General features: G+C 35.2%; 1 protein-coding gene across 3 annotated transcripts in view; it reads left to right on the top strand.

Moving 5' to 3' along the window:
• Positions 1-11,835, top strand: part of PLPPR5 (phospholipid phosphatase related 5) — a 115,542-nt gene extending 103,707 nt beyond the window's left edge. For all 3 annotated transcript variants that reach the window (XM_011540838.4, NM_001010861.3, NM_001037317.2), the window contains one exon: positions 8,976-11,835. In XM_011540838.4, the coding sequence (XP_011539140.1) occupies positions 8,976-9,008 (33 nt within the window). In that variant the 3' untranslated portion in view covers positions 9,009-11,835. The remainder of the gene's footprint in view (positions 1-8,975) is intronic.
• Positions 11,836-15,069: the final 3,234 nt, after the last annotated feature.

Below are 15,069 nucleotides of genomic sequence, written 5' to 3'. Positions count from 1 at the left end.
TCCAAGGTCATACAACTGGTCTGTGTTCTGAAACAAGAATATGAATCCTTAATTTCCATTTTCAAAGAAATATGTTCCATATTTGTCACTTTAGAGCTCCAAATCATAATCACTGTGCTGCATGATATTATAAGATTATATTATTAAAAGTTATAATCCATATAAATTCTCTAACCATTATATTTGTTAGACATAGATTATTGCTTCCACTTCCAATTTTCCACAATTATAAGTAATACTAAGGTAAATGTTCCTTAAATATATATTTTTGTAAGCTCAATTAATAATTTAAGATAAATTCATAGACATAGAAGTGCAGAAACAGAGCATGAACACTTTTAAGGCTTTTGGTTGAATTCATATCTGTATGTTCTCTGCAACAATGGAGAACATTGTTCTTCATAACTTTTACAATCTTATAGGCAAAAAATAAATAAAGTTCTCATTTCAATTTATATTTTTGAATATTTTTCAATAAACTTATTTTGTATTTTTCTTTCGTACTGAAACAACCAGATGATAAAACAATAATTCAATAACTGACACACCAAATTTTAGACATGTCTTGGCCTTTAGACTTCATGTTATGTCTGGTGGGCCTAATTTTTTTTAATTTGGATTTATTAAAGCATAATTTGCATCCTGATACATCCTTCCTTGGCGTATAGCTTTATGAGTTTTGATGAATGCATACTTTCATGAAATTATCACCATAATCAAGTCAGAGAATGTTTCTGTGAGTCCCAAATGTTTCAGCCTTCCCCTTTGTAGTCATCCCTCCTTCAATCTCCAACTTCGAGAAACCACTGATTTGTCTTGGTTCCTCGCGTTTTGCCATTCTCAGGATATTATATAAGTGGACTCATGCATTTTGAGTTTTTGAGTCTGACTTATTTGTTACATGCATCTGTAGTCTGTGTTTTTCCCATTTAATTGCTGAGTAGTATCCTGTTGTATGGATGCACCACAGTTTGTTTATCCATTTGCCAATTGAAGGTTGGGTTATTTCCATTTTTTGGCAATTATGAATAAAGCTGATACAAACATTCATATACAGTTTTTTGGGAGTACACATATTTTATTTCTTTTAGATAAATACCTAGCAGTGAGATTGCCAGGTTGTATGGTAAACATATATTTACCTTTATAAAACATTTTTCAAGTTATCTGTGTCATTTCTAATGGCCCTTATGATTTTGAATGGTTCTGAAATGAATCTTGATGTAGCTCATTCAGATTTTTATCAGTGGTGCCTCTTTGTGAAAATAAGCAAGTTTTTAAATGAGGAGTTTTAATCAACTCCTGGTTCTACAAGAATTTATCATGCACTTGGTCCATTATCCACATCCTCCGATTCTTCTCTGTCAAGTAGTGTTAGGTTGCTTATTTAGTAAATCTAAAGCATTTTAAAAAGTTAAAGGAAAATGAAATAACTAAGAAGAAGCCAATTTTATAGGTTAAAGTATTAGTATATAAAACAAGGCATGGATACAATTTACTGTTGAGTTACCTTATCATCAGCTGTTATGATAGTGAAATTTTATTTATAATCAGATTCGTAATATATGAAATGTAACAAATATTAAATACAGAGCACTATGATATGTCTCGTGGGGAGAGAGAGAATTTTGTAACCATATACAGAAGATGATGATGGCTATACTGGAGGAACACATAAAGGGAGACCTGTCTGAACTTAGCAATGCTTGAAACGTCATCTTAGGGGAGATCTTCAGGACCATGAGCCAAGTGAGGACAAGAGAGAAGAATGGTCCAGCTGGAGAATCCAGCTCACGCAACGGTTTTGTTTAGCAGGCAAGATAAGGGCACGAGGGCAAGAAACTTGAGGATGCTGTTAAAGATTGATCTTATGATCAACTGTAGGGTCCAGAAGGAGTGAAAAAGAAGCGGAATTCATAAGGAGCATGATAGACTGGAACAGATGGATAAATTAGTAGTCAGGAAATTTCCTCATGGCCAAAGAAACCTTGTTGTGTGAGGGAGGTAAGACAGGAGTTAAGTTGGGATTTTACATTTCAAACATGATTACTGGTTGAGAATATAGCTATGAATAAGGGATAAAAGTGTGGTAGAGAGGAAGGTTATTATAGTTGAGGAGGTTAACAAACTTAGAAGACAAAGTGCATGGATACCCATATCCACCAAATACCATAAACACATTAGTATTCATAGACTTCCATGAAATTTCATGTCAATACGTTTGGGAAACATTGAGTTAAAGTGAAACAAACAATTAGCTGGGTGTGGTGGTGTGTACCTGTAACGCCAGTTACTCAGGAGGCTGAGGCAGGAGAATTGCTTGAACCCGGGAGGCGGAGGTTACAGTGATCTGAAATCTCACTACCGCACTACAGCCTGGGCGACAGAGCAAGATTCCGTCTCAAAAAAAAAAAAAAAAAACAAGTGAAATAAACAGGTATTTTCTGAAGGTCTTCTTAACACTTTTATGCATTGTGTAACTCTAAGCATGACATATAATGTGCAGTTAATGTCAAAAGGCTTGAATTCAAAGATTTATTTTTTGGAATTATTCCAGTTAACTGATTTTTTAAGCAATACTCTTTTGCCAGTGAAAGGACAGCATCTTAAAGAAGGAATTGATTTTACATCCCTGATAATGCTTACTTCATTAATCACTTTCTTCACCTTTAGGCAGTGGTACTCAGACTGGCATAAAAGACAATCCATTGCTTGTGGCACTTGCAAAAAGAGAAGATATCTGGGTTTCACACCAAGACATTCTGATCCAGAAGGCCTGGGCTTGGGCCCCAGGACTTGTACTACATCAGTCATATCAGGTGATCCGGATGTGGAGTCAGCACTTGATCTGGATACAGCTGGGCCTGCAGAACCTCTGACACAGTGGTTCTCAATATTGGCTCTACATTACAATCATCCAGAGAGCCTTCAAAAATTCCAGTAACCAGGCCATGCCTCATACCAATTAAATCCTGGTCTCTGGGGTTGCATCAGTATTTTCTTAAAGATCCTGGGTGATTCCAGCATGAAGCCACAGTAGAGAATCAGTGCCTCTAAAGATCTGGTGTGAAAAGCCTTAAGCTTCTTTGGCTTCTCAGGACTTGGAAAGACTTCATAAGATCTGTAGCTAATGCTCTCGTAAAAACTGGGCCTGCCTCTGGTTTAATTATCAGAGAAAGCTGCCTAGAGATTCTTTTAGAAGGTAGCTGTTAGCTCCTTTCTCTGAATAGTAAAAAAAAGGGAAACTTCTGAATGGAAACAAAACTCTGAACCAATATAAAACTCTGAACTGAAACAGAACCACTGTACAGAAAGGTTAATAGTCCCCCAAAAAAGTCACCTTTCCCAAGAAAACTTTGGTTCTGTCACATGATAGCTTTTATGTCTCCAACTTCTTAAAACAACAAGAAATTGCTCAACATACATTTTAGAATCAGTTTTACAGCTTCAAATCTGAGTTTAACTAATTTCTTCTTAAATAGTTCTAACATTGTTTCTCTTTACTAAAATACCAACTTCACAACCTACCAGAAGGAAAACAATGTGACAAAGTAGAACCTTCGAACACATACTCCATGTACTTTGCTTTTTGCCTCTCTTCTGCTCACCTTCCCCTCCTCAAAGGACACAGTGAATGAAGCAAGTGAATGCGTTAAAGAAGCAAATCGCAAAATAAACAGGGACAATATTCGAGATTATGACATCCACCTATCTTTTCCTGATGCAATGTAGGCTATGTCAGAATTGTTGGTTAATTTATTGGACCATGATTCCTTCTCCAGAATCCTTAGTGTCAGATGTTTTTACAGAATTCAAAATATTTTATATTTTAGGAATATGTATATTTGGTTACACAAGCAGCATCTGGAGCAACAATTGTAATCACAGATGAGTATTTCTGCAGCAAAACATGGAGTATAAATTGCCTCACAACAGATCAGGTTTTGCCACCAAATGAGTTTGCATCAATCTTAAAAGAAACATTTTGTTGGGTTTTAAACTTTGTTTGGATATGAGCATTGAAGATCGGTAGAATAGTGTATTTTATATTCAAATAGTGAGCTTTATTTGTAAAATTCTAACCAATTACTTAAAAATTATTTATTTTACTTTTTCTTTTTTTAACTTTCCTTTTTAGCTGTTTCTGTGGCTTTTATAAGTAACTATAAATAAATGATGAATAAGTTTGAGTAGGGACAGGGACCTTTGTGTATATAATCCCATTTAATGTTAATAAAAATCCATTCAAAAAGTATGTATTCTTATCTCTATTTCACAGATGAGAAAGCTGGGTCTGTGAAAGGTTAAATTGCTTGCTAAAATTTCACTTGTGATGGAGACCACATTTAAACACTTGACATTCAGATGACTTGACTGCAAAGACCACTGTACCACACAGCTTCCGCAGCAACAGAGTCAGAGACATAAATCATTGCATGAAAGACAGGTGCACAGATCCCATTTTATGTTTAGGTTAAAACCCTATGCTGATTGTTGATAGCTTCTCCTATTCAAACACAAAAGCTTTTTATCATCAATCATCTTGAAAGAATGAAACTGGAATAATATTTAATCTCAGCATTTGGTCTAACGATGTAAGAACATGGAACTTTAAATAAACCAGTACTTTGAATAAATTAAGACAATGTTTAAATAAACATTTAAGTAATATGTAAAACACATTTTGTAGGTGTGCCAAAATCAACCTGTTGAGAATGGTCAAGAAGAAAATTCACAGGAAAGGTCCTTTAAAGACTGTCTTGCCAGGCTCTTCAGCTGGATAATGGGAATAAGCCACTGTGAACACCTTCAATTAAGGCAATAAACGTATGTGCGCTGGAGCGCACTGGTGTTGGAATTGGGTTGCAAAGCTAAGACAAATACAGAAAAATGTGTCCTTCTGTGCAGGTTTTCCTTACAACCAAAAGCAATATAGGAACTAGAGCTTTTGGTTGCTGTTGTTGTTGTTATAATTATTAATCTTTCAAATACATTTTATTTTTCAATCATTAATATGAATTTAGCATTCCTTAACTAAGAAGCCATTAATAATGGCATTTTACTTGTTTTCCTATAGCTGTAATTCCAAAGACTTCCCTGGAGTGCCCTTTTTGCATTTTCTCATACTTTTCCCCTTATTTGTTGATTGAGTGACAGGTCTTGCCAGATGGCAAGTCATCACCAAAGTTTCGTGCCACGAATCGTGACAGTTTTGTCTTAATTAACATTTTTTTTTTAAATTACAGACTGTATTTTCTATGTGGAGGTGTAGAATAAATAGTAAAATAGAGATTTTCATGCAGAACTTAGAGCTTTTAAAATGGACATGCTATAGAGACTTTAAAATTTATTAAATTTAAGTATCCAGTACAACTTCCCAGAAACGTGTTTGCTTTCTCTTGTGACCCCTGCACTCAAGGACCAGACTCAGTATTTTGCTCAGTGGTTTGCTGTGCACCTGAGTGAACACTTTCTAATGGATGCTTCATGTAGCATATTCTAATCTACAACTATTTGGGGTCAAGCTTTGTCATCTCCATGGTAAGCCTCTGTTAATGTAATTGCAGAAGGTACCAGGAATTGTGACAAAAAATTATATGACCAGTTTCTTCTCATGATTCTGAATAGAACTTTTAAGCATGAGCTTTTGGTTTGCCTACTGCTTTTTTGCACTATCATCTACTAAAAAGATTTAGTATTGCATATTCAGAATTTAGCCATATTGAAAAAGAGAAACACTTGGTCAACTACTTTGCCTCACAGGCAGTCCATTTCTCAAGACAGCAATCTGAAAATATTAAACACAATTCTGGTTTTCCATGTTAATGGGAAAAATACTGCTGGGAAGTGAATAGACAATAACTTCCTGCACAGGAATTAGGCCATCTGTATATTTCAAATTATGCATGTACATACCTTGGTAATGTAAGTTGTATAATGTACCATCATATGATAGATTCTTATAAAAGGACCTCAAGTAATTATCTTGGCGCTTCTTTAGATTGCTTCAGGGAAAATCACCCCTGTGCCAGAAGTGAATTAAACTTAAAAAAAAAAAACTACTGAGATAAATAATCCATCTCTTTCATTTATGATATAGGTTCATTAGCTCTTAAACAGTAAAGTAAATGAACAGAAGCTCTCTGATCTGTCTGTACACTCCTTTCATGTACTATGATTAAATTTCCCCTTAATTTTCTCTTCCCTAGGCATAGTCACTTCAGTGTTTTATTTTCCTCTGTTTATCTGTCTGCTAACTACAACTACCTTAAAATGATGAGCCCCAAGCAGGATACTTCTAATCCCAGTCAAATAGAAAAAAATGAAAGCACCTCAGAAGTTAAAACTTAAGTGATGTGAAATGGAAAGATGCTAATTTGGGGGAGGGGGCAAGAGTTTTCCCTAGAATCCTAGGATCTAAAAATATAGTCAATCTAGAAATCAACTGTTGTCCTTGTAGTTTAACTTGGTGATATTTTTGCATAGGAAAAGAGTATTATGGCTTAAAATGTATGGGCAGTTAAAGGGAGATCTAGTGATCACTGAAGCATGTGATTTTAAATGCCAAGACTGAATTCCAGTATTTTCTAGATCTCAATAGCTCACCTACAATTATACATCCATGCCTCATTATTAAGGTTTCTTAGTCTGTTTTGTGCTGCTATAACAGAATACCACAATCTGGGTAATTTATGAGGAGCAGAAATTTATTGGCTCAGGATTCTGGAGGCTGGGAAGTCCAAGGTCAAGGTGCTCACATCTGGTAAGGGCCTTCTTGCTGCACCATAACATAATGGAAGCACAAAAAGAGGGAACGAGAGAGAAGGGGACTAAACTTGCTTTTTTATAACAAACACTGACCTATGATAAGGACATTAATTCATTCATGAGGGCAACACTCTAGTGGTCTAATCACCTCCCATTAGGCCTCACCTATCAACACTGTTGCCTTAGAAATTAAGTTTCCAACATGTGCATTTTAGTGGACACATTAAACCACAGTATAGGGTGACTTTATATTACTATTTGGGACAATCCTCATTTAAGCCTGTTGTCCTTGTGTTGTATTAGCACCCTTTTCCCCCTTCCACATGTCCATATTTAGATGATAAATTATATGGTCACCCTACAGTTATTACAGTTTCTTTGTTACACTGTCCAGCTTGCACTTGTGCACTTGGTTTTTCCTCTATTTCTGTCAAGCTCTGCATTGATCATCAGTGGTTTGCTTCTGGTTATTTCTCTGTTTATTAAAGTCCTTTAATGTGTATTTAATTCTCCCTTCCAGGTTAGTGGTTGTCCTCTTAAGATCATCTTCAGCAAATTTAATGAGTCTTGTGAACCCTCCCTTCATTATCTGGGTCAACAATGGGAACCCTGAGGCCTAGGCCAGTGGCCTTTGGGACACCATCCATGTTATTTCTTACCTCCTTTCTTTTCTCTCTACTGCCCCTTATTGACCCTTTTCCTACCCACCAGTTGTCACTGACTGATTAATCTTTAATTTCTATCTTAACATCTTTCCAGAAATTATGTTGTTCTAGATCCTATTAAGAAGTGTGATGTTCATGACGGTTTTGTGCTGAAACACTCTATATCGAATTGCATTTTCTCAGTTCACTGGTTTCAAGTACCCGTGGGGCCACTGGAAATAAAACTGTGATGTATTATTTCCACAGTTCTTATTGTTTTAATTCAATCATAGTGCATTATATAACTCTGACAAGTCATCTTTACCCTGAAGTCATGCCTGAGCTTTTGTAAGGAAAACTCAAGAAAACTTACAGATGAGCTACTGAATTTCCAGACATTTTCATGATGCATTTTTAAATGGGAAATTAAAGTTTCTAAAATGTTACCAGGAGTTAGTGGAAAAACTCAGCATGCTCTGCTCACTCCTGATTCGTACTAATTTTGTTTTTTTCTAGTATTAAGTGGGTCAAGCCTAGAAGATAATGCCCCAAATTGTAGTCAATGAGATTCCTTTTGTGTGGTTTAATATGCCTAAATTCAATGAAAATGAATTTTAATTTCTTTACACACATTTTAAATATGTTTTGATGAATTAAAATACTTAAACTTGAAAAAAGCTATATGTATGTTGAGAACATTTTATGGCATACATTCATCATATGAAATTCTGTTTATGATATCATTTGTTATAAAAATCCAATGCAAATGCCATACAAAAACTATACAAAACACATTTAAAATGGGTAGTATGATGGTAGAACCCTTTTGTAATGCTGATGTTATTTGTTGGGGTTGTCAGTCATATTAGATCTTGACATAAGCCCATATGTAGCATGATTAATTATGTAATAGTAGTTTTTCATTGCAGTATTTCAGCAGGCATGACATGGCCTGTTGCATGCCTGAATCTATTTAAATGTTAGGCATTCCACAGAGTTTCTTTGTACATAATTCTGTTGATTTCCCAAAAAAAAAAAAAAAAAAAAAAGGCGCTGTGAAGAATTCTGTGGTAGAGGTAAACAACAGAGACTACAGTCTGGAGTCAGGATTCATGCATCAAAAATGAAGTGTTTAAGTAGATTTTTGTCAACTAGCAAATGCCATTTTAGTCTGAGCATTTCACTATCTCATTCTACACCATCTGTCTCTCAGGGAGCAATTAATCTGAAACTCCAACATGCAGCATTAAAATTCCATTAACACTGAACAGAATATTAACGTGTCTGGCATTGCCATTTTTATCTTTTCAAATTTCAGAGTTAATTTTGAATAAAGCAGGTATAACATTTTAATCTATTTGTATAATTAAGATTATTGAATAAAATATGTAATTAGCAGCAAAAATTGTGTAATAATACATAAAACTTAGTTTAATAATGCTGGATGTTTTGCAACTTCAACATTCAGCATATAAGCTAATGATTATTTGTAAAGGTACTACATATTTTACAAAGCTAATGTTCCCAAGCCTCTCACTTTGTCATTCCTTTTTCTTTTTGCAGAACCACATCACTGCCTTCGCAGAAGTCACATGATATCGAAGCAGATGGTTTTTCACTGCATTGGACATCATCCCTTTTTACCATCCATTCATAACACCCAAAGTTTGTTTGATTGCAAGTGAAGTTTATAAAGTTGTTTAATAATTTTTATAATTTTAAAATCAATGTCAACCTATCTGTTTCCCCCACTAGACTGTGAGCTCCTCGAGGGCAGGATTGTCTTTTTTTTTCTGTGTCCCCAGCACTTACAACAAAGCCTAGCACAAAGTAGGTGTTCAACAAAAATGTGATGACCAAATGAACAAAATTCTTAAATAAAACATTCACTTTAGTTTCTCACAGAATCATTGCAATTATGTTAAAAGAAATCTCTACATAAATCGTATTTGTGTATGAAAACCTTCTATTTTGGGCTAGTTATTTTTTTAATCTTCATATATCTATTCAGCAGTATGCCATATTTAATTTGAAGTGGACTTTGAAAGTCATGGGGGTTTTTATTTTGTTATTCAGCATGACATTATTTCCATTCTAACATTTCAGTGTGTGAAATTACTTTATTTTTAGAAAGTATGTTCTATAGTAAAATAATGTTTCCACATTATATTATGTTATATTTCACTTAAAATACTATTCATACTATACATTCTAAGACTGGTGCTTCTGCTTTTGAAGGGGAAAATGCCAATTTTTACTGTAATAAGTAATGTATCATAATTAAAAATTATTTATTTGGACTTCTTCTCCTGACAATTGTGGCTTAATTCATGACTTGTTTTTGAATGCAGGCAGTATTTAGGGTAGTTTAAATGAGTAAATTCAGCACTGGTACCTTATTATTGAGTAATTTCCCATGGGTAGCAGTGTCTCAAGAGTGGTCAAAAGCTCCACTCTTAGGCTTTTTTACTACTAAAGATTCCACATAATTTAAATGGGAAAGAACTATACCCTGACACATAATTTAAATTATATAAATGCTAGAAATATGGTTAATGTATTTTACTTTGCATTTGTGTAGTACTTTATAGTTTACAAAGCATATTTACACCAATTATTTTATGTAATCCTCATAATAACCTGGTATAAACATGAAGGGTATGGCTTTATTTTTATAGATAAGAAAAATGAAGCCAAGACAGGGTAAATAACATGCCAAATCACAAACTAGTAAGAGACATAGTTGAAGCTTAAATTCAAGTTTTCTGGCCCTGAACTCATATTCCTTTCTAATATAGCACAGCTGTCATCTCATTTTGGACACTGAGGCCTTTCAGAGCTCAGTAGAATCCTGGGCAACTACCTATGGTTCAAAAAATAAAGAAATGCCAGAATACAAATATGAAAGCTCTGCTGTATTTTAAATGTTTATGTTTTAAGAATGAACACTTTTCAAATATAAAACTATATAATAATTATAATCCAGTTTTAAGATAATATCAAGAGTCTAGATGTGAGGCTTTTTGTGAAAGAGAAGCCTAAATTCAGCATCTCCCCTTCCACCCTCACCCCCAGGTCCCAGCCTCCCACTCAGCAGAGTGCCCAAGGGACATACCTTACATTTAGCATGTAGAATTCCAGATTACAATCGCCATAATATAAGGAAGGTGAGCTCCTCAACAATAACTTTGCAATAATTAAAACTACCCTAAGTAACTTTGGCTTATATGGCAAAGTAACTTTGGCAGTAATTGACTGAAATGAATCTTTCTAAACTTTACAGTACTAAAGAAAGCAAACTTTTAATTTCCTCTGTAATTTCAACAGAGATCAGCAAATAAATATAACCAAAGATTGTCCATTACTCCCCAAATAGATGTTATTTGCCCATTTCTATCACTGTGGAAGCTAAAACACTTCTACTAGGGCCAAAAAGAGAAAAGAAAAGAAAATTTCTACTAATTTCAGACCTCTAGAGCAATTCAGTCCTGTTGGAAATTTAGAACATGAAGAAACTTTGAATGTCTTGACCCTTTTTAAAGATTTTTTAGGCAATAACAGTAATAGGGAATTCACTTATTGAGAATGAAAGTGAAGGGGATGATCCTAATGTCTTAGAAAGCTAGATTACTAGTAAGGCTTCCAGACTTCTATCAGTTCTATTGATTCTACATCAGACTTCCAAGCAGCCAAGCAGGAATGTTTTTCCTGTTGGAAGCCTTAGCCATATATTCTTATGTCAAGGTTGCTTCTTTGCACCTTGCTAAACCTGATACGAATGCAGGAGTTTTAAATTCTTCAAAAACTCAGATTTAACCCAGAACCAGAGTAAAGTCACCTCTACTATTTACACATCATAGGCTCAAGATTGTACAGTGAGTGATGCTGTCATGAAGAAAATTCAGATGAAAAAGGCAAGATACATGTGAATAAGGCAAAAGCCAGAAAATAGCCCTTATTCATGATGCTGTTACTGAGAATAATGAAAATCATATTTCAGAAAATATTACCATGTAAATATGTACATATGTAGTCTAGTAAAAGCAGGCAAACACATATCTTTCTGATAAAAACATCTCCTTTTTATTCTACTTACTTGGGGCCCAGGTCAGTATAATTTAGTCAACTTGAAAATTTCGGTAGTCTCTGTTTGCATGGCAGAAATTCTGCACATGTTTTATCTGATTCCTGTGATAACTTAAAAGGCTCTTTTATGTTAAAAGAGAGGTGAATCTTCTTTGACAGACTTTGTATTTTCCACTTCTAACTGGGCCTCTCTTTTCTCAGGATCTATCCTAGCCAAATATCTCAGTTACATTTACCATACAGTTTCCTTTGTGAAAGAACAGTAGGGGAGGAAATAATTCTCTGCTGTGTATTGTATTTTTCAAATAAAAATTTAAAAATTCAATTGAAAACTGAATTTTGACTTTGTAATATATTGGTCTTGATAGGGGGTAGAGGAATAAGGAATGCTTATTAATGTGCATGAAAGAATTCTCAGAGTGACTGAAGAATGTTTGGAAATGGATCACAATGGATCAGATTAGACCAGTTCCTTGGACGGCTCAATTACCCTCTGCATCTCGTGGACCATCCTGGGATCTTACTAACATCCTTATTTCCAAATCTCAACTCCCTAGAAACTATTTGAGATACTGAGCAGGTATATGATCCACTATATAGGCTGACTTCTATGTTGAGCAAAGCATTTAAGATTGGATGTAAATTAGCATATTCCTGCCTTCTAAGGCACTATTTATTACATTTTGATTGCATGCTCTAACAAGTTGCACTGGAAATATACCAAATGGTTCTATTTATGCTTTGAAAATATTGATCTCAAAATTTGCCAGGCATGGGCTTTCTAATGAATTTTCCAAATTACAGTTCTTTTAGAATATCAATTAAGGGAACTTCCTCCAGACTTTAAGTGAATGAATCTCTTTTAAGAAAAACGAGAGTATTCAAATTCCTCTTTCCTGTCCACCTTAGATTATAGTCTGATCTTAGCCTAATAGAGCCTCAGGACATGGCCAACACTGAATAAAATAAGTCTGGTCTCTTTACCCCAAGTCTTATGAGCCATGAATGGATCATAGCATCTAAATTCTAAACTCAGATTGCTATCTTTCAAATCTGTGGCCTTGCTCACAAAGGAGCTTCAGATAAGAAAATATAGATGAGTGGATACAACCGCCTTTAGCATTCACATGAAAACTCAAAGCCATGTCTCAAAGGCCTCATTCTTTAGATGAGTGATATGGACAGGTGCCATCCTCTGGCATGATTATCTTCATATTATTTCATTTATAAATATGTTCTCATTTTTGCATGGGAACTCTACTGCTTGTAGACACAATTATTTTTTCTTCTCAGGAGGAGCAAAAATGAAATTTTAATTGAATTTTGTTATAAGGAAAACCTTTTCAAAATGGTGAGATGTTTTGAGCATTAATCAAGTATCCCTAGATGTATTGCTCCTTGTCAAGAAGCACTTTCAGCCTTCATTCATTTGGCATATTTATTGAATGATCTTGTGAAGCAGATAATTTGCAATGTGCTGACTAAACAGTGCATAGAAAGATCTGGCCTCTGCCCTTCCAGATTGTATGCTTCAGCAGCTCTGATGATGGAGCTGTAAAAGATCTGTTTTAAGTTCAAGTAGGAGAACTGGCTTGGAGTTAATCTGCTGCTGAGGACTAAAGAAAGGGCATTTTTATAGATTACAACAGCAGCTAGGTTAATTTAAGAAAACAAAAAGCAGTGCCCCCATAAACAGTATTGTATTATTCAACTATTGGTAATTTTTAAAACCCTAAAATTCTATATAATAAACATTTACTATCCTTCACAAGTCTGTGGTTCAGCCGAGTCCCTTTTCTGGTCTGAGCTGAAATTTTCATGCAGCCGTGATCGCGTTGGGAGTCTCTGGCTGATCTTCACTGAGCTGTCTCATATATGAGAGTCATCTGGCTGTATGCTGGTCTAGGATGGCTTCTCTTGGGACAACTTAATTTTTCTCTATGTGGTCTCTCAAACTCCATCAGGCTAGGTAGGCTCTTTGGCAGAATGGGCTGAGAGAGTAGAGGCATGTAAGGCAGTAATACATTGTCACTTGGCCATCTCAGTCAATTGGCCAAGGCAAGTCCCAAGGCCAGCCAGATTCAAGAAGTGAGGGAGGAGCTACAAAGTCACATTACAAAGAGGCGAACACAGAGATGGGTGGAGAACAAGGGCCATTTTTGCATTCAATATATCATAAACTTTTACTGCTGCTAAACTTGTTCAAGCAGTACTCCCCAGAGTTGAGTTCCTAACTTGTCAAGTACCGATTTATTCTGATAAACATGAGAAACCCACAAATGACAATAGAAAGCAAGTTTGTTGTAACTGAAAAAGAATGGCCATGCCACCAGTCACTGAGTACATTCCAAAATGCCTTTGTGATGGCTGTCTAGAGAACTGTCTGCCCAGCACCTGACAGCAACAGGGAGCTTGCTGAAGTTTTGTTTACAGCAAATTTCCTAGGTCTTCTCCAATAGGCAATAATGAAGGAAGAGAACATAATTTTACAAGCAGAAATAAAATAAAGGAGAAAAACCACCTAGGTGGAAAGAATAGGAAAGTAACTAAAATATAAGATCAGGTTACGACACATTGATTCTATATATGTATGTGTGATGTGTGTGTGTATATGTATGCATGTGCTTGCTTTGTATAATTCTGATTTTTAGAAATTTCAGTTACTATGACTTAGATAACACTACTCCCCCCAAAACAGCATTCAAATTTTAGTTACAGTATAATAACTGAGAGTAACGATTAAATGTACAAACTTTGCTGCCAGTTCTTCAGTCCAAAAATCACTATAAAAATAACACATGCACATATGATTAGTGACCAGTCATCTCACTTCCTTCAAAGTCTTCCAGTGATCTGTCACTGAATATTTGCTATTCTGTTCATGCACAGACAGCAAAGCATGTATGTGTTGACTCCTTGTCTCTCTGTAATAAATCCACATGACATCTTACAGAAGAATGCATAATTTAACCAGGATCTGGTCAACAAAAATGGAACTACAGCAAAGACAAAAAGGTGGCAATACTGAAAGTGAAATTTGAATATTGAACATAAATACACTTATAAAAGACATAGCATAGCCAACCTTGGAAATGCTGAAACTACCACCACCATCTGAGAGACTCTAGAAATGCATCCAGAGAAACAGTGAAAGTGAGCTTATTGATATAAATGGGAGAAAAGTTTGTGATGAAGATGATATTGTAGAGGAAATAATTCTGATTCAAAAAAATTCACATTAAAGGAATTCTTGGAGATATTTCACAACACTGAAAATACAAAGGATAAAAAATTAATTAGTAATGGATCCAAATGTAGAAAAGGATATGGCAATTAGCGTAGACACAGAGAAGATGCTTGCCCCATATCCTAAGTTACATGACAAGAAGGTGATGGTAAACGCTGTTCAAACTTGTCTTAGCTTGGGATGTAGTGACAAACTACCATAGACTGAGTGGCTAAAATACAGTCATGCATCACTTAAGGACAGGGACGTACTGAGAAACACATCATTAGGCTATTTTGCCATGTGAACATCATGGAGTGTACTGACACAAATCTAGATGCTAGA

The sequence above is a fragment of the Homo sapiens genome, chromosome 1 (assembly GCF_000001405.40).
Source record: "Homo sapiens chromosome 1, GRCh38.p14 Primary Assembly".
NCBI lineage: Eukaryota > Metazoa > Chordata > Mammalia > Primates > Hominidae > Homo > Homo sapiens.
The sequence above is the reverse complement of the archived record's forward strand: the minus strand, read 5'-3'. Positions and strand labels throughout refer to the sequence as shown.